We start from the raw sequence: 20195 nt of genomic DNA, 5'->3' as shown, positions 1-20195 counted from the left end.
CTCTTCCTGGCAACATCTTAAAAGAAACCAGCAGCCGTTGACCGCAGGAATCCTCAAATGTTATACTTGAAGTAGTGCTTCAGGCAAGTGAACTGAGGTACAGCAGGATAAATGATGTCCCAAGGTCCTGAAACAAGCTCATAGCAAAACCTGGACTAGGACCCCGTATCTCATTCCTGTAGATTTCTTTAGTACACTGATTTCGCAGCAGCCTTTAGTTTATGTTCGTTCATTTAAGCATGATACCCAAACACAATGGAGGAGGGGCATTGGTCTTCCTGCCCTTGAAATGGGGGCAAAATTGTCTTGAAACCATGGTTCTAGGATTTGTAGTAGTCCAAAACCCTCTTAAAGGTTTCACCAAATTTCGAAGGTGTGCGAGGTAGATAGTGGTCTCTTAGCTGTTGTAAGAAGGAACTGGCCAGGCGCGGTGGCTCATGCCTGCAATCCCAGCACTTTGGGAGGCCGAGGCAGGCGGATCATGAGGTCAGGACATCGAGATCATCCTGGCTAACACGGTGAAAACCCATCTCTACTAAAAATACAAAAAAATTAGCCAGGCATGGTGGTGGGCACCTGTAGTCCCAGCTACTTGGGAGGCTGAGGCAGGAGAATGGCGTGAACCCGGGAGGCGGAGCTTGCAGTGAGCCGAGATCGCGCCACTGCACTCCAGCCTGGGCGACAGAGCAAGACTCTATCTCAAAAAAAAAAAAAAAAAAAAAAAAAGAAGGAACTTTCTTGTATGCTACCTTTTCACATGGCCACATGGCCATAGCCTGACAATCAGACTCAAGTCATATTCCCCATAAACCACCCTATCACCTTGAGTACCTCTTACCACAGATTAAAGGGATCTGTTTTACTTGCATATTTAATTTTTTAGTTGGCTTCTAGATGCATCAACTTTTTCCACTGGCAACTTTAGTATTTATTTAGAGACCAAAGGTTGAAATCAACATACTAATCTTCAACTAAATAAAACAGTATCACCTGCACATCACTGGTACTACTCAGGATCTAGCAGAGACTACAGAAATCATTTAGATTTCCTGCTATATTTGCCACAGAGGAATCTGAGGCCTAGAGAATCTACTGTAGGGGTGGCTAAATAGTGACATCTTTAAAAATAAATTTAGTAGTCATTGAAAATATTATATTTAAGATACCTAATTTTTGCAGAATCATTTCCTACATTGTGGCTATTCTATCAAACCAAATAAGAAAAAAAAAATTCTTATGAAGGTAAAATATTGAATAAATCAGTTATTAATATCCATTTCTCAAAATACATTGAAGTGTCCACAAGGTGTCAGGTATAGTGCAGAGTTGTGCATGGGGTCTTTAATCACTGGAATTATTGTGTGAACATCCACTTACCTGTTTTTTTTCCTCCCAAATATATCAATCAAACCACGAAACACCACACACAAAACAAAGCTACTTCTCCAACTGATCCACACTTGGCAGTATTTATTGAGGATTTCAATACACCAGGCATCATTATCATGTTATACATATTTACAGAAAGTGTATGGAAATGGAGTAAGAAAAAATTTCACTGTTACTAAACAGACCTATTAGGGTCATTTTGTAAATAATAATAATTATAATAAGACTCTCGTAAGTTTCCCTGTCCTTGAATGCTGTAAAGAAACAAAACAAAAACATGAGACAGAGACCACTGACTTAACAAATGGATGACTTTATTAAGAGAGAAGGACAAGACTGATGTTTACCTTGGTCAAACCATCCAGGAAAACAAAGCACACAGACTTATAGAATACTTTGGTTTAAAAATTATTCATAATATCAATATTAAACCTGATGTTTAAAGAACCTAATGAGAAATATAGTGTAAAAAACAAACCATGAAAACACAAGTTTGCATAGATGAATTAATGTAGATGTACAATTGGCATTTAAAAAAGGAGGTTTGCGTTTTGGGAGTGCCTTAACGATGTTGAACACCTCAACCTCCCAAGACACATGAAAGTCACCAGCACCACAATTCTCATTTTCCTCAATGAGGTCATGAGCAGGAACAACTTGTGCTGTACGGAGGTGAACTGAAAGAGACTGCTTCCATTGGCCTAGTCCAGATGAGTGTATATATTCCCATCAGAACCCACCACTGGTCATCTTTAAGGCATCCACAAAATGTCCCTCACAAATTCACTTAATCTCTAGATAGGCATGTGGTCTGAGGCAGCCTCTTTGTTTTCTGTCCTCACACAGGCAACTGCATTCCATCAAGGTTCTGTTCAATTCCACGAACTAGCTATTTCAAAGCTGCCTATTCTTCTGGGGCTTGGTTATAAATCCATGTGGATTTGGAATAACAATCCATTTGTTTTATAAATATATCCACATTCCAAATATCAAAGGGGCACTTCCTAAGGAATCTGAAAGTGCCCAGGCAATGCGTAGTCTCTCTCTCAAGAGATCACGTTTCTAAATTATGAGACAAATGATAGCATCACCTCAGGTTTCCTGGGCAACTTGATTTATATGAGCAAACTCTTGTACTTTTTAATTCAGCACCTTTTCAAAATATGTGCTGGGATGGATTCTTCTTAGGGAAAGCCCCATATAGAATTCTCATTTTGGAGCATCATTTTTATATGCTATCTCCCCAGTGTATCTTCTCAATATTTATAACACTTTATGAAATAAATATTGGGTTGCCTGTAAGAAGAGAAAAATATAGCTCTTTCTGAGAAAGAGCATTTGGCTTGCAGTTTACAGCAAGAGCTGAAATTAGAGACCATAGGGATTTCCAAGACCAATTTGACCAGAAATACAAAAATTCTGATGTCAAAAACCCTCTCACAAAATTTAACAGGTAGAAATTATTTTAGCAGTATAGCCTGAAATCCAGTGCAACAAAAATGTATCCCAATTCTATGATATGTCATAGTATGTTCTCTTAGCTGTCTTCCCTTACTTGTTCTTACTCCTTACTTGATCTTTTGGGAAGAAAATGTCGCCCAAACCCATCTTTCAATTTTTCTATTCTTTATATGAACCTCAGCAATGAATAACAGGGCATTAAGTTACACAATTAATTATGCCCTTATCTGAAATGCTGAAACCTGCACAGTGCTGGTTCTCTATGCTATGAAGTTAACTCAAAAAGAGAAAAAACATTTTCTTCTAGTTTGCTGAGAATGTACAAATGCATCTTAAATCTATTAAAATGTTACTAGGCAGTGTTCACATATTTATATATATAAGGGAAAGAGAATGGTTTTTAGGGCCATATATTTCTACAACTCAACATGATTACACGATTGTGTTAGCCTGTGGCATCAAACAGAATCACCACTCTGGTGTCTTTCTTATCAAAGCAAAAGTTTTCCTGCTTTTCTCTTATAAGTAATAAAACAGAAACACTCTTCACATTAGCAAACCTCCCATTTCAAGTAAATGTCTCTGTTTTGTTCGGTTTTCTCCTTTTTTTTCCCTGTTAATGGTTAAGCATTTCAATACACAAGGGTGTTGGTGAAATTCTTACAAATAATCTGAATGTCTTCACTGCATAACAGAACCTTTGGAAATATCTTCTATGTAGTCACCATAGAAGACAGTCAACTCTCAGTTACTCAAGAAGTGGTACCTGGTATGAAGGATTTGGCCAAGAAATTCTCTCCTTCTACCAGTCTTTTTGGTCATGCCACTGCTTATTCAGAGGTGGACAGACAACATGAAATAAAATTATGTATTTATTGTGTTACAGATCAGCCACAAGTCAGTGGCAGAAAAGGTCCAAAGCTTCTGATGACAAGGATACTTGGGGATCATCTGTGAATGTTATATCTCAATGGAAAGCTGACTGTCAGTCACATAAAGGAAGTAACGTACACTGACATCAGTCAGAGTCAAACTAATTTAAGGCAGTACTGCTCCTCACAAACAGTGCTGGCATAAAGTGCAGGTCTCATTGTAAAAGTGACTCTGTAGTAGTAAGATTTTCTCAGTTTACTCTTTCTTTCTTGACTTCTCTACAATTAAATTTCAGCATTTCTAATGACAGTTGTTAAATACCAGGAGCAACAATATCCTGACTCTTTAATATTCTTACCTCTCGCCATGGATAAAAGAGATTCTTCCACCAATAATTTGAAAGACATTGTGCCCCATGCAGCATTAACAGGACAGTCTCCAGTTTGCTTCTACCTGCCCATATTACTTATCATGGGCTAAAAAGAAAAAAAGTATTCTATCAACAGTAAGATAAGCAGATATGGCTTTAAGACTCACAGGCACCACCAGAAATGAGAAAATTGGACCATTTTATATAGTCACTTCTCTATGAGCAGTAAGTAATAGACAAAGTAATTTAAAAATCTTTTTTCCTTTTTGCTGAAGCATGAGGTTTTGATTTTGTTATGATCGTTTCAACAGAATATGGCACTCTATGTACAATGAAGTCTACCTTAGCACTCCTTACACAAATACCGTCTTCTCAAAAGGGAAAAAGCCTTTGGCTGCAAGTTCTATTCTATTATCAGTCCTTCAGAAAGCTGTTTACACAGAGATCTCACTCCTTTATTAGGGTGAAGATTTTACAGCCAATCATCATAGTTATCTTTCAAGAAAATAATCACTGAATAATGAATCATCTTGGTATTCCCCAAAGCGATGCTTATACAAAGGCAAGACATAAAAAATCTAGGACTTAAAATGTTAACCACTTGTGGAGTAAACTGAATGCACCATATTATAGTGGGTATTTCCAATTTGGCACAACACAAATTTTAGACAAGTTTTGACAGAAACTATTAAAGAAAATTAATAATCAGTTAAAAGCTAATTATTTTTATACTGAAAAGTTCTAACTTTGAGAGAAAGTGATGAGCAACAGTCAGCAAAGAATTTACTCATCATCTAGCTCAGCTTCAGGACACATTAGAGAAGAAAAGCGGGGTTAATGAATCAGGTCCAGAATTTTCTAGAGTGAGTTCAGTAAACACAAAGCCCAAGGTCACACATTTTGGAATATGTTGACCTAGATCCAAGTGGTCATTGCCATTCTAAAAAGGTTTTCCTCCTAAAAGCATCTATCCATATCTTTCTTTTCTAATTTAGCTATTTCTCTATCATCAGAACACCTAGGGTTAATTTTCATTTTCTGCTTTTGTAATTTATTGGTATGCTGCTGCTGGTTGTAAAGTAACTTGGGAAATAGCAATTCAATAGTATGTAAAGCCACTTTCTGAAAATCACAATGTTCCCTTAAATACATGTAAAGCAACTGTCTAGTCCCAAAATAAAATACTTATGTCTAATAAAATACTTACGTCTAACAGTGGTTTGAACGCAAAAGTCAAATATTTTTCAAGTCAAAACATTTAATTTGACTCTTATCTAACTTTACTTCCAAACAATGATTTATAAAATGTGGAGGAGAGTGGGTGTCTATGTCAAGCAGCCTTATGATAAGGCTCCGTCATATATTGTGCTTATTCAACAATACTGGTGTTAATGAGGCCTGGCCTCCAAAGGACAAAGATACAGAAACAGAAAGGTTTTCCCAGGCCAGAAGTATTAGTTTACATCACAACATTAAAGCATAATACACTGTGGGCCTAAAAATTAAACTGCATGTGTTCTAGCAGCAGGAACAACAACAACAACAACAAAATGCTTTCACATTTATATAAAAATGACAAAGTAAAAAGCAGAGAACACAGTGAAAAGTGTCTGGCAGTTCATTAAAATACAGTTGAGTTGCTTCTATAGTCTCAAACATTATTATATTATTTGAATGAGAAAGAGTATGAGGATTTAACTGGCTGAATTTCATTTCTATCTCCTTATTCATAGGGTAATAATTACTCTGATATTATTTTAAAAGTGTTTGCTTTACACAAAAATAAAATAAACATAAAATATTTTAAAATTGTAATCTTTTAAAAACCTTTAAAAAAAGTAACAAATTTTCAATAAAGATGTTGAATTAGCTATCACAAGGTGATAGCTTACTTGGTCACTTACTAAAACAGCTGAAACACTAACATTCCTGGTAAGTGTTAAGTGGTCCGACTTTTTTTTGAATGCAGTATCTCCAGTTAACATTTTACAATAATAAATAACTGGATGAAGTACATGAGAGGCAAGAGAAATGCAGAATTTTTAAAGTAAAACTGATCATTGTATGAGATAGAAAAATAAATATTTATGAAATAAAAAATGGCAAATGATTTTGCCTAGTTATCAAATAAAAATACATTGTTTTTTTCCTTTAAAATTACAATAAAAAAACTTTGAAGGACACGAAGCGAAATCACAGGGCAGATAAAGAAAAATATAGCATTACTATAAGTAAACAAGGCCTAAGCTTTGGATATTGAAAGCACTATCTGGAATTTGACTTAAGGCCAGGACCTTCCATTTTGTCTCCCCTTCCTTATTTAAATGGAGGTTTTTCTTTACCCATTTTATCACAGCTATAAAAAGTCCTGTTATTTTCCTTTTCCTCCATTTCTCCAAAATGACTACATAAAGTAGGGATGTAGATTATCTTTCTGATTAACATTTGCCCAAAACTTAACTCAGATGATTTTACTTAAATTCCTATAATATACAAACTTCATTGAAACTACAAATCTTTCTCAAATGAGAGACCCAAATCCACTCTGAGAAACTGTTCTAAATAGCTGCCTGAATATTGCCCAACTTTAAAGACTATCTGAAAAGATAAGGCAAACAGAAGGCAATTCACAGTGGGAAAAAAATTAACATTTTTCTCTAGTGACCTACATATTTTTTCCCTAAACAAATGCCATATTGAAATGCCAAGAATTTCATATTTATACAATGAAAAATAATAGCAAGTCAAGCTGAAGGGATATATATATGTGTACATGGGGGGGAGACAGAGAGAGGGAGAACAAGTGAGCTTGATTGCCATTTGTCAACTAAGTAGTATGGGAAAATAAGGGAAAATAAATATTGCAGTAAGGTTAGCAGCTACACAAAGACTAAATTTCTTGAAGAGGTGCTTAAAGGTCTTGTACAGAGGAATACAATCCCTTGCACAAAGGAATACAAATGTTTAAAACCAAATACTTGGCTGGCTGGACATGGTGGCTTAAGCCTGTAATCCCAGCACCTTGGGAGGCCAAGGCAGGTGGATCACTTGAGGTCAGGGGTTCGAGACCAGCCTGGCCAACATGGTGAAACCCGCTCTTTACTAAAAATACAAAAATTAGCCGGGTGTGGTGACACATGCCTGTAATTCCAGCTACTTGGGAGGCTGAGGCAGGGGAATTGCTCCAGCCCAGGTGGCGGAGGTTGCAGTGAGCCAAGATTGCACCACTGCACTCCAGCCTGTGTGACAGGGCGAGACTCCAACTCAAAAAACAAAACAAAACAAAACAAAAACCAAATACTTGGATAGATGACCACTTCATCAAATTCAACTTCATGTTGAATTAATTTAATTACTGGCATGTAAACCAAACATTATTGAGAGGTTATCAACAAATACTGCTCTGACTTGAAGCAAGAGAAAAGCCTCAGTCTACAGCCAGAGAGAAGGATGGCATCATTACTTATGCAATCATCTTTCAATTCCATTTCCTTGGCTCTACAAGTAAATGAAAAAGAAGAGATGGAATACAAAGTTTTTCATATATATGAGTTAAAATTTCAGAGAACTAAATTTTTGTCAATAAATACTAATAAATGTTCCATTGCCCAGGAGCTTAGGAAAGCCTTGCTACTGAGGCAAAAGCAGAGGAAGTGTTAAAGAATGCTATCTAGGCCAATCTCCCCAGGAGGGCTGAGAAATGCAAAACCTCTACAGTCCATCTAGTCAGAATAACATATTTCAATTGCTCCAAGTGTTTCTTTTTTTAAAATACTTTATGGTTGTGCTTTTCTTAAAGAATACAAAAAGCAAAGGCTCTGTCCTTCAAAATATCATACATTAATGCAACAAAAAGCTATTTCTTATATTCTTTTATTCTGCGTTGCATCCAAACATTGTTTCACTTTGATCATTCATCTCCATAAAATTTGAATTGCTAAATAAGGCCTACTCCCTAGATACCAAACTCCATACCTAACAAAATGGCAGTTTACAAAGGTCTTAGATACTATATCCCAAGAAGTATATGCAGCATAGAGGTGGCCAATATTCAGAAGCTACATTTTCTTATACTGCCCAAGTGATCATGAATAACCAAAACATTTGAAATGAATTAAAATTACTTATGGTCAGAAATGCACTTGAGGATAAATCCCAGGAATGCAAACACAGGAGAAAAAAAGTAAGTGTAGAATTCATTCTGTATCACCCAGTAATATTTGCTATAGTGAGTCCATTTTCAAGGCAGATTCCTAGGTTTTTAATGTTTGTAATGAAAACCTGGGGAGGGGAAGAAAAAAGGAAACACAATTAAGGAAAAACCTTTGAAACTCAAACAGCTTTTTCTCCCTGCCCAAGTAAAATAACTTTATTTCTATACATTTCTAATAGTACTTTATTCTTGATTGTGACATATATACAGAATCAATGTGTTAGTTTAGTATTATGCATCAAATGTATGTCAAAGACAGTAAGGTACTCCCCAAAAGGTGATACATGTAGTTTGAGAAAGAAAAATATGAGCTACTTCGTTAAATCGGGAACAGTGAAAATGCCACCAACTGATGGAAGTTGAGGTGGGATGTGTTGATGAAGATGTTTATAATGTCCAACTAACCTTACTTTTAAAATAATGCCTTTTGTCTTTTTCTCAGTATTGGATGTGAGTCAGAATGTGGGGGTGGGGGAGCTTCTTAAAAATGCAAATGCTTGACAACCCCCATCCAGAGATTCTGATTGAAGTAGTCTAGAGTGTCATTTTTGCGATGGTATTTTTAAATGACAGCAGAAAATGTTATTTAAAGATATTTGGGGACATTATTATTGACTTGGAAATGAATAACAATATCACCTAAGTCTTCAAAAATCATAACAAATAAACAGCATCAATTAATGAGATATAATATATTTGCAAAGTCTACTGCACTGTGCAAAATTCTTTCACATATTTAATCTTTTATGATCCTGACAACTCTGACACTTTCTATTTAGACTGCCTCCATTTTGCAGATGAGGAAGTTAATATGAGAAACTACCTTTTCACCATTTCATTTTACAGCTCTCATAAAAATGTACATAAGTGAACGCAGATCCTTGCAAGAGCAAATACGTTCCTCTGTCAGAGGCGTTTGAACCAGAGAGACTCCATCTTTAATAGGGGCTGGATAAAATAAGCCTGAGACCTACTGGACTCCATTCCCAGGAGGTTAGGCATTCTAGGTCACTGGATGAGATAAGGGGTTGGCACAACACACAGGTCATGAAGACCTTGCTGATAAAACAGGCTTTGGTAAAGAACCTGGCCAAAACCAAGAGGGTGACAAATCTGAACTCTGGTTGTCCTCACTGCTCATTATATGCTAACTATAATGCATTAGCATGCTAAAAGACACTCCCACCAGAGCCATGACAGGTTACAGATGCCATGGGAACATCAGAAGTTACCCTATAAGGTCTATAAAGGGGAGGAACCCTCAGTTCCAGGATTTGCCCACCCCTTTCCCAGAAAACTCATGAATAATATACCCCTTGTATTAATCAGCATATAATCAAATAACCATAAAAATGGGCAACCAGCAGCCCACACTGCTGAGCAGCCATTCTTTATTCGAACCTTCTTCTTGGAGTCTGAATCGGGACCCTTTTCTGGAAACAAATTTTAAAGGTTTCGTCCAATTGAGGTATCCCTATTTTTTCTTTATGCTTTGTTCCATTTTTCTTTTGCATAACAGTTATGTGGGAGGTGTGCATGCATATTTTAAATCTAATTAATAAGAGTCATGGGCAGATAGGAAACAAGAGCCACTACAGAAAATGCAGTCCTACAGATCTAAATGGAGGTCACCACCACCTTTTAAGAATCTGATGAAAGAGCTGGGTGCGGTGGCTCATGCCTATAATCCCAGCACTTTGGGAGGCAGAGGCAGAGGGATTACTTGAGTCCAGCCTGGGGTGACATGGTAAAACCTCATCTCTACAAAAAAAATACAGAAATTAGCCAAGTGTGGTGGCACATGTCTGTAATCCCAGCTACTTGGGAGGCTGAGATGGAAGGATCACTTGAACCCAGGTGGTGGAGGCTGTAGAGAGCCAAGATCATGCCACTGCATTCCAGCCTGGGCAACACAGTGAGACTCCGACTCAAAAAAAAAAAAAAAAAAAAAAAAAGTGAATTTGATGAAAGCGTTGTGCTCCCTCTCGAGGAAAATGCAAATACACAGAATATCTTACATAAAATTTAGGGTGTTCTGTTTTCTGTTTTGTTACTGTTTTAATAAATGAGGAGTTCTATAACAATGTGCTGACAGAATAACTTATTTTTCCACTCTAGTGGAACACAGAATTTGATTTTTCCACTACAACACGAGGCTTATATAAAAAAAGAAGATCCTAAACTTGACCATACATACTCTTCTTACCTTTATGAGAGGACTCTGATTTTGAGAAATGCCGTGTGGAACTCTGCTGGTTTGTAAAATGAGTGTAATCCGCATCTTCACCATCTGTCATGATAGGTGGTGGTGGCCTAAAAGGAATCCAGAATTTAAAGGGGCATTCTAAGTAACGCTTACTACAACTCCACCCCTCTTACTGGATTGCAAGCTAAAAACATTTTCTTGTGAAATGAAAAGCCAAAATGCTTCAGAATTCACACTGTAGTTCCTGGACAGTTGCATGGCCTTGAATAAATTATTTATCTTCCCGTTCCTTTGTTTTGATGTCATAATTCAATACAAACAATTATCTCCTCAACAACTAATACATGTTAGGAACTGGGCTAAATAAACAAAGATTAGTGAGATGTGACTGCTGCCATTTATAAGAAATAAACTTTGTTTTGGTAGGTCTTACCAAGTCAAAGAAAAAATAACAGAATAAAGAACAGAAAAGAAGAAAATAATAAAGCCAAGGAAGAAAGGAAAGGAAAAAAAGAAAAAAGGAAGGGTAAGAGACAGAAAGGAGGGAGGAAACAGAAACAAAATTTCATGAGCAAAGTTCCTTTATCCACTAGGTGGCAAAACAGATCTTAATACATTTGCAAATTCTATGTAATACATTCGCAACTTTTTATGTCAAAAAATGTAAAAAAAAAAAAAAAGATATAATTTTTACTACTCTAAACTTTTTATTAAAATTACTTAACATAGATTTATGCAAACATGTAGCACTGAAGCAGAAAACCTCTCATTCTTTATCTCCCAAAGGTATACTCAAAGTTTGCACTAAAGGATAGCACCAGATTATCAAATTTATCAATATATCAAAGATTTATCAAATATAACCATACTGTAGGCCATTTTGTACATTTATATGTAAAATCTAGAAGGCATAAGTATTCTGAAGTTTGTAAAGTTATAGTTGGTTTGGTACAATGGGCTCTGTCATGTAAAAATAAAAGCAAGTGTTTCCAAATTTTTTATCTTGTCGCCATGCAATAAATCTTTCCCTGGGTATTCAGCATCCCGAAGAGGTCAGCATGGGATATAAACTGGCATATGTGCTGAGGACCATGCTACAGGTTCTACACAGATTATCTCAATTAACTTTCAGGACAAGTCTGTATGCTAATGCTAACTATCATATACATATTTGAGTCAGATTAGGTTAGATGAGGTAAATAATCTGTCCATTTTCACACAGCTGTTAAGTGGCAGACCCAGGGCTCAAACTCAACTGGATTTCAAAACCAGTGTTCTTAACTACTCTACTACATAGGTGTGTATTTTTATCAGGAGCAGCATCATCTGTATAAAAGACTATATGTATATATGTGTGTTTATATATATGCATTTGTATATTTTCAGAAGTATACTTTCATATGTTATTGTACTTATACTTTCAAATATCATTTCATGCATCTGTTTTATATATATATATATAAAAGTAATGGAAACATAGTGAATAATGCATTTTTTCTAATTTTTATTTTTAAATCATTTGTTTACCAATATTGGAAATTAAATAGTATTTTTCTCCAATACCTGATATTTTTAACACTTATCTTTAATAAACAATGTAAGACTTGGTAGAAAAATTAAGACAAATCAGTCTGACTCTAGGATTAAAGAACTTAGCTTCAAAAAGCAAACAAGTGGCTTAAGAAGTGACTCAGGCCCAAGAAAACAGGGTTAGTAGTTAGAATGACCCAGTCTGTTCTTCTCTCTTTTATTAATGTCATTAGGCAGTCAAAAATCAGAAAGACAGACGTTGAGTGGAACTCACAAAAACAATCCATGATTAGTGCCTCACCATCAACTCATCAAGGAAAAGTATGCTAAAGTTATGAAACAAAGCACAGGATGCCCACAAGTTTTCTAGCATGTCCATGTAAGGATAAACAAATCAATCTAGAATGCTCTTAAGGGTACTGTTCTAGAATGCTCTTAAGAGTACTTCTTAAGTACTTCTTAAGAGTACTTCTTAAGAGCAATCTAGAATGCTCTTAAGAGTACTTCAGTGCTCTTAAGGGTACTGTTCTGTTTAGTTTCAGGTTACATAGAGAACAAATCTTGGCTTACTGCTGCCAAGAGTCCTACACCAAATTATTTTGTTATACCTGAGACAATTGTTTTAAAGTTACAGCATATATATCCAAGTTAGAAAAATCTTATTAACTAACTTTGTTGTACAGTTTTATTGTATTAAGACTGCCTGTTTCCTACCGTTCTCATGAAATCATTTACATCTTTAATTTAGTGATACAGCCAAACACCTTTCATAATTCACTTCAAAATTCACTTCTTTAAGAAACCCTCCTAGACACTTAAACCAGGATGTCTCCCTATGTTCTTATCATCCTGTACTTTTCATCCATAGCACTTAACACAATCATAACAGTTATTTGGATAATTATTTGTTTAGATTATAAACTCATGAGAACATGACAGAGTTCATTCTTGTTGACTGATGTGTACCCCAATTATGTGTGAGCAATTAATAGGGTGCTCAATAAATACTTGATAAATGAATAAATGGAGACAACTGTATTTCACATTAATAAGAATGCACAAGGAATAAAATGAGATTTAGAAAATATTTAATTTTCCTATGAAAAAATGCAAGTAGAATAACAAATAATATTAAAAGTATAAAATCCTGTAGTTAAAACAATTTGGAACATGGGTTGAAATTTTTTCCAGTTACAAGAGTTAGAATTCAGATTGCTAAGTGATCCTCTATTTCCTTAAAAACAGTAGAAAACTTCTTTCAACAGTGTTTTGCAGTTCTCCTCATAGAGATCTTTCACCTCCTTGGTTAGAAGTATTCCTAAGTATTTTGTGTGTGTGGTTATCGTAGATGGGATTGAGTTCTTGATTTGATTCTCAGCTTGAAGCTTACTGGAATATAGAAATGCTACTGATTTTTGTACATGGATTTTGTTTCCTGAGACTATGCTTAAGTTGTTTATCAAGTCTAGGAGATCATAGATGACACAAATAAATGGAAAAGCACTCTATGCTCATGGGTTGGAAGAATCTATATTATTAAACTGTCCAGGTCAGGCGCGGTGGCTCACGCCTGTAATCGCAGCACTTTGAGAGGCCGAGGCGGGCAGATCACCTGAGGTCAGGAATTCAAGACCAGCTTTGCCAAGATGGTGAAACCCCATGTCTACTAAGTATACAAAAATTAGCTGGGCGTGGTGGTGGGTGCCTGTAATCCCAGTTACTTGGGAGGCTGAGGCAGAAGAATCGCTTGAACCCAGGAGGCAGAGGTTGCAGTGAGCCCAGGTCGTGCCACTGCACTCCAGCCTGGGTGGCAGAGTGAGACTCCGTCTCAAAAAAAAAAAAAAAAAAAAAAAAAATGCCCATACTAAACAAAGCAATCCACAGATGCAACAACTTCTTATCAAATTACCAACGTCACTTTTTGCAGATTTAAAAGAAACTATTTAATTCACATGGAACCAAAAAAAGAGCCACATAGCCGAGGCAATCCTAAGCAATAAGAACAAAGGGAGGCATGACATTACCAGACTTCAAACTATACAAGGCTACAGTAACCAAAAAAGCATGGTATTGGTACAAAACCTGACACACAGACCAATGTAACAGAGTACAGATCCCTTGAAATAAAGCTGCACACCTATAACAAAGGGATTTTTGACAAAGTTGACAAAAATAAACAATAGGGAAAGGACACCTTATTCAAAAAATGGTGCTGGGAAAACTGGCTGACCATATGCAGAAGAATGAAACTGGACCCATACCTCTCACCATATACAAAAAATTCAAGACCTTAAACTATAAAAATTTTAGAAGAAAACCTAGGAAAGACTATTCTCAACACTGGCCAAGGCAAATAATTTAAGAAGACCCCCAAAACAAATAAACAAATATAACAAAATCAAAAACAGACAAATAGGACTTAATGTAACTAAAGATTTCTGCAAAGCAAAAGAAACTACAGAGTAAAGAGACAACCTACAGAATGGGAGAAAATATTTGCAAATTATGCATCCAACAAAGGATTAATATCTGGACTCTTTAGGGAAGTTAAACAAATGAACAAGGAAAAAACAACCCTATTAAAAAGTGAGCAAAAATATGAACAGACACTTCTCAAAAGAAATACAAGCAGCCAAAAAACATGAAAAATGCTCAACATAACTAATTATCAGAGACGCAAATCAAAACCACAATGAGATACTATCTGACAACAATTAGAATGGCTATGAAAAAGTCAAACAATAACAGATGTTAGCATGGATGCAGAGAAAGGGGAACACCACTTTTACACTGTTGATGGGAATTCAGATTAGTTCAATCCCTCTGGAAAGCGGTTTGGAGACTTCTCAAAGAACTAAAAATAGAGCTACCATTACCCTGGCAATTCCATTACTGGGTATATACCCAAAAGAAAATAAATCAGTCTATCAAAAAGACACATGAACTCGTATGTTCATCACAGCACTCTTCACAATAGCAAAGACATGGAATCAACCAAAATGCCCATCAACAGTTAATTAAAGAAAATGTGGTACATATACACTATAGACTACTACACAGCCACAAAAAAGAATGAAATCATATCATTTGCTGCAACAGGGATGCCTCTGGAGGGCATTATCCTATGTGAATTAACACAGAAACAGAAAACTAAATATTGTATGTTCTCACTTATAAGTGGGAACTAAATCCTGGGTTCACATGGACTTAAAGATGTGAATAATAGACACTGGGAACACCAAAAGGAGGGAGGGAGGCAAGGGCTGAGAAACTTCCTACTGGGTACTCTGTTCACTATCTGGGTGACAAGATCAATAAAAGTACAAACCTCAGTACCACACAATATACCCTTGTAAAAAAAACCTACACATGTATCCCCAGAATCTAAAATAAAAATGGCAATTTTTGAAAAATAACAACAAAAGTTAAACACACATACACGAAGAGTAGAAAATTCTGTAACAGACAAAGAAATTGGATTTCTAACCATAAGTATTACAAGCTCTACATAAGAATTTGTGTCTCACTACTACTATTACTACACTTCAGTAATAAACATCTTGACCTAGGAAGTGCCATGTTTTTCAATCCTTGAAACCAAATATTTCTGTATAGCTAAACTTTTCCATCATGATTAAATGTGAAAGAGGAAAACCAGATTCTAACCAGAAAGTATACATTCTGATATTAGTTGTGCAAGGTATCTACATATGCAAGATATATAAGCTTTATCTTTTAACTATGAAAATACAGGTTTCATAAAATTCCTCATTTTTTTGGTCATATATACAATCCTGCTAAAATGACATTTAAAGACAAATGTTCCTCTAAGGTAAAAACAAAAATTTCTATTCTACTAGCCCTAAGTCACTTTTCATTCATTTATAATAGCCATTTTTAATACAGGATCATTTGATTATTCACTCTTTCAGTATGCCAAATATTTCTAAAGTATCTATTATATTCCAAAAACTTGTTTTCAGACTTTAATAAACTTTCTTAAGAAATCATCCAGTACTGTTCCATCATATATGCTGTCAATGGTATTAGTATTCTAAAGAGGCCAAGGATCTGAAGACTGCAGAATTAAGCCTAAAGATGATTTAAATTCATTTGACTAAAAAAAGGATAATAATCCAGATGTATTTACTTACTAAGAACAGATTAGCTGCTGCTTCTTTTACTTGGATACTTTGGGAATGTACTAACCTATAGAGTTCTAAGAAAATGTTTGGCATGTGCTTAACCAAAAGCTACAACAGAAAGATTTTATATAACTAGACAGAATATGCCACTATTCTTCTCAGAGCAATACAAACCCAATGTAATTTTCTGAAAGATTATCTTCTGAAAGCAAATGAGTTTTAAAATAGAGGATTACTTTTTAAGGACACTAAATACATTCACTTGAAGGAAACAAGTCTAGGAGCTTCAGTGTGGGCATGAGTAGCAACAACAGTGTCAATTATTCAATGAAATAAGCGTTATGTTTCAAGAATTAACAAATAAGAATAAAATTCAAATTTGAATAATTCAGAGTTTTCAAAATTTTAAACTTAGTGTTACTTTTTTGTCTTGTTTTTAGTATCTTTTTCTTCACATTCCAATCATGTTTTCTTTCGAAAGGCAACAAAAAGCAATTAAAAAAAAAAAGAGGTTACTTCCCCAGAGACTTAAATGTTGACAACTTGAGGCAGAAAGACAGCAGCTGCTCCATAACTATTATGCACGACTGTTTGAGATAAATCAGAAAGTATGTACACCATAGCCACAGCTATTTGTTGAGTGGGATTTAGACAGTCTGCAAGGATTCAAGATTTTGTCAAGGACACTGAGACTCAGAAAGAAATGAGTTTGAGCATGTGCAAATGGCATGCACACATCAGTGTGGCTATGAAACCCGGTAAATATTTAAAACTCGAAATTTTATTTAGGAAAAAAAATCACTCTCATTCCCCAAGCTGAAAGCATAAATTCAGTGAATGCAGAGGTAAGAATCAGTCCTAACAAAAAGTACATTCTTCCTTATCCACCCCAACTATTGTAAAATTCTGATTTGATGTACACAACTCAATTTAAGAGTGGAAATAAAGTTCTAAAAATAACCCTGAATGTCTTGACACTACCTTACAAATGCAGATTTTTGGATCTCCTCTCCAAAAAACATACACTCTTCTTAGGGAACTGAAATCTCCTTATTCACCCCAAAGTCAACTTCCTCATTTTTCTTTTCAGGTGTCAGCTTACCGTGCTGGCCTTTCATTCTTAGAATGGTGAGGTTCATCACTCTCTTTTGACTTGGAATTTGCTGCTTTAGCTGTTTTTGGCTATGGACAAAAATACAAACAAACAAACAAAAATAACACACACATACAATCCAGAATCATCAAACAAAGGGAAAGATTAAGTTTAACGTATGTTTATCATGCCAAGCTCTTCCTTAGTAATTTCAGATTAATTATATTTAATTGAGGAACATAAAATATTTTTATATATGGCCACTCCAGAGGTAGAAAATTTATAGCTGCAAAGGTAGGCTTTGGGCTTACATGGAAGGTGTAATTTAGCCCACTCATCTGAAAGCCTTAGAGCAGCCAGAGGAATGGGCTGAACACACAGGAACATGCTTCCCTAGATGGGTGTGCTTGGCCACTGATTATTAACATAATAGCTACACAGTAATTGCCAAGAACCAGTGCACGCCCAGAGTCTACGGAATCCAGGTTTGTGCACTCAAACTTATTTCCGCACACATGTCTTAGGCTGATTTCCAGCCAGTAAACTAAGGCACATTCAAGTCAACTTTTCCAAGAGAGGAACTGTATCAGTACCAGTTATAAAATAAAAATTACAGAAGTCATGATGATACCTGCTAGAGATGTGGCCATTGCCTTCTGACACGCTTGATTCCTAATCCTTAAATACTTACCCTTTCCTAGTTAAGGTAGCAAAGAATCTGAGAAACTCCTGGGTAATTATTTGTGGCTTAATTTATTTAACAAAAGTATTTGGGAATCCTTGACTAAAACAGTATATTAGAAAAAATCTTGAATTACTGAGTTAGTTAAGAGAGAGCTAAATATACATAATTAATATGAGAATAATACATTCATTGTTTTGAGACTAACTCGTGGGTAACTGAGCAACAGGAAAGAGTACAGCAATACTATTAGCAGGGTTTCTACACCTTTTTCCTCACAACCATTACTGAGACTGTGAGGTGGGACCAGAAACCCAATGGAGGAATTTGTTCAAGAGAGACCAGCGCTAAACACCAACTGTGTAAGGAATACACAACCTAGGTTTCATTCTTCTGGGCCTAAACTCCCTCCCTAAAAACCCTGTATTGTACGAATTCTCTCCCTATTCCTCTGCTCTTTTTCCACCTAGCTTAACCTTCTATTTGTTAGCTGTCTACACTTTGTCTTCCTCTCTACATTATACACTACTATCAGGAAAAATGTCTTTGTCTTTCCATGGAGGTCCAAAGTGTTGTCTTACGCGCTGTCACTGATGAATAAAGTCTGCTAAGCTGGAACTCACAATTACCGCAGCAAAATGAATTGCAGTAACTGCTTATTTTGTCTACAATTTCTGATCAACGAGGGGAAAGATAACCGTCCAAACTCACGCTAGATAGGTCTTGCACTGTGACATAAATAATAATTGTTGGTGATAAGTATGTATCTTTCAGTCTGCCACAAACCATGTTACATCAAAGGAAAGAGAAACGGATACATGATAGAGATGAAAGATAATGTAAGCACAAAGAAAGTAGAGACGGGAAGAGAAGTTCATTGTGGAAAATATGAAAGCATGTGAAAATGCTATATTCTTCTATAATCAAAGTACTGTATATGAAAACTAAGACTGTTCATGACCAGAAGCACTTGCATTTCACTCCGTCTTAAAGGGAACAGAATGAGTTTTCAATCTTAGCAGTAACTTTTTACATATGTTCCAAAATTCAGTGATTTTTCATGGTGATGGAATCTTCACAGATCAGATTCACATATGCAATACAGATAATTTATATATTCATATATCCTAAATATATTTGCAGAGCTTAACTCAAAAGCAGAGTCCCCTTTTCATTTCTAATTTTATTTCTAATTAGAAAACAAACAAAACACACTCTACCTTCCACTCGGGGTCTTGCTTTCTTTTGTCCAAAGATGATTTCTCCCGCTCCTTGGCTTTTTTGTAAGCTTTCTTTTCTTCAGCCATTAGAAGTCGAGCGATTTCCTAAACAAAATACAGTCAATATCATTAACTGCAGAGGTGCAGATAGAAATATACTAGGATATTTCCAAAGAATATCAGCTAAACTCATTAACTTACTTCATCTTGAGCTACTTGAGCGGCTCTCATGTCCACCTGGGTAGCCTATGATATCGAAAATACAAAAACAAAGAATTTAATTGGAATCTATGTTGTGCATTTTCAGTATCTTGTACAAAATAAGCTGGTTTTTGAAAATAATTGTGACTCATGTTCCTGAGGTTGATAATCAGTTGGTATGCTTTCACCAGCCAGAGCAGGAGCTCTTTTTATCAAATCCTACAGCAGGGTTATGGAGAACAATCATGGAGATGGAGAAATGGAGTTATGGACTTTGCTGCTAATGCTTACTCACTAAGCAAAAGTGGATACTCTATTCCTATTGTCATGATTTTTCCACTCATAAAAAAAGGTTTCTCAATTGATAGAGGACTATTAATATAATTTCAAGATGGACTAGATTCACAAAAAAAATACCCATCAATATATCTAAACTTTTGCCTTAAAATTTGCTCACCAAAAGTTCTTCTTCTTGCAGTTTTCTGGCAATTTCAGCATCATACCATTCCTGATCCCTGTGGGCCATTCGTGATGGAGTAGATACAGCTTCTTTCATCACTCTTGGCTTCATTCCTTTAAAAAAAAAAAAAAACTCAATGTAATAAAACAACCGAGGATGTTTTCTGAAAAGTTAAGAAATTTAAGATAAAGGAGATTTTTCTTTAGTAGCTAACAATGACAATACTACCTCTACTCCAGAATACAGTGTGGGGTGCATTAAAAATATTTTTGCCCTAGGAATGGAAGTGGCAATGTAGATAATGCATACATTTAAACAAAGATATCTAAGCAAGCCTGCCTGGTAAAAAGTC

General features: G+C 35.7%; 1 protein-coding gene across 3 annotated transcripts in view; it reads right to left on the bottom strand.

The window, feature by feature from the left end:
• The window catches only part of CCDC50 (coiled-coil domain containing 50), a 69266-nt gene continuing 50526 nt past the window's right edge, over positions 1456-20195 (bottom strand). For 2 of the 3 annotated variants that reach the window (NM_178335.3, NM_174908.4), the window contains 6 exons: positions 19841-19956; positions 19384-19428; positions 19183-19287; positions 17290-17369; positions 10513-10619; positions 1456-8374 (listed from right to left, as the gene is read on the bottom strand). In NM_178335.3, coding sequence (NP_848018.1) covers positions 8355-8374; positions 10513-10619; positions 17290-17369; positions 19183-19287; positions 19384-19428; positions 19841-19956 — 473 coding nt within the window. In that variant the 3' untranslated portion in view covers positions 1456-8354. Of the gene's footprint in view, positions 8375-10512; positions 10620-17289; positions 17370-19182; positions 19288-19383; positions 19429-19840; positions 19957-20195 lie in introns of those variants that run through there. The other variant, XM_011512460.2, reaches the window with a different exon arrangement.

Source organism: Homo sapiens, chromosome 3 (assembly GCF_000001405.40).
Source record: "Homo sapiens chromosome 3, GRCh38.p14 Primary Assembly".
Taxonomy (NCBI): domain Eukaryota; kingdom Metazoa; phylum Chordata; class Mammalia; order Primates; family Hominidae; genus Homo; species Homo sapiens.
Note: the sequence above shows the minus strand (reverse complement) of the source record. Positions and strands in the feature narration are given on the sequence as shown.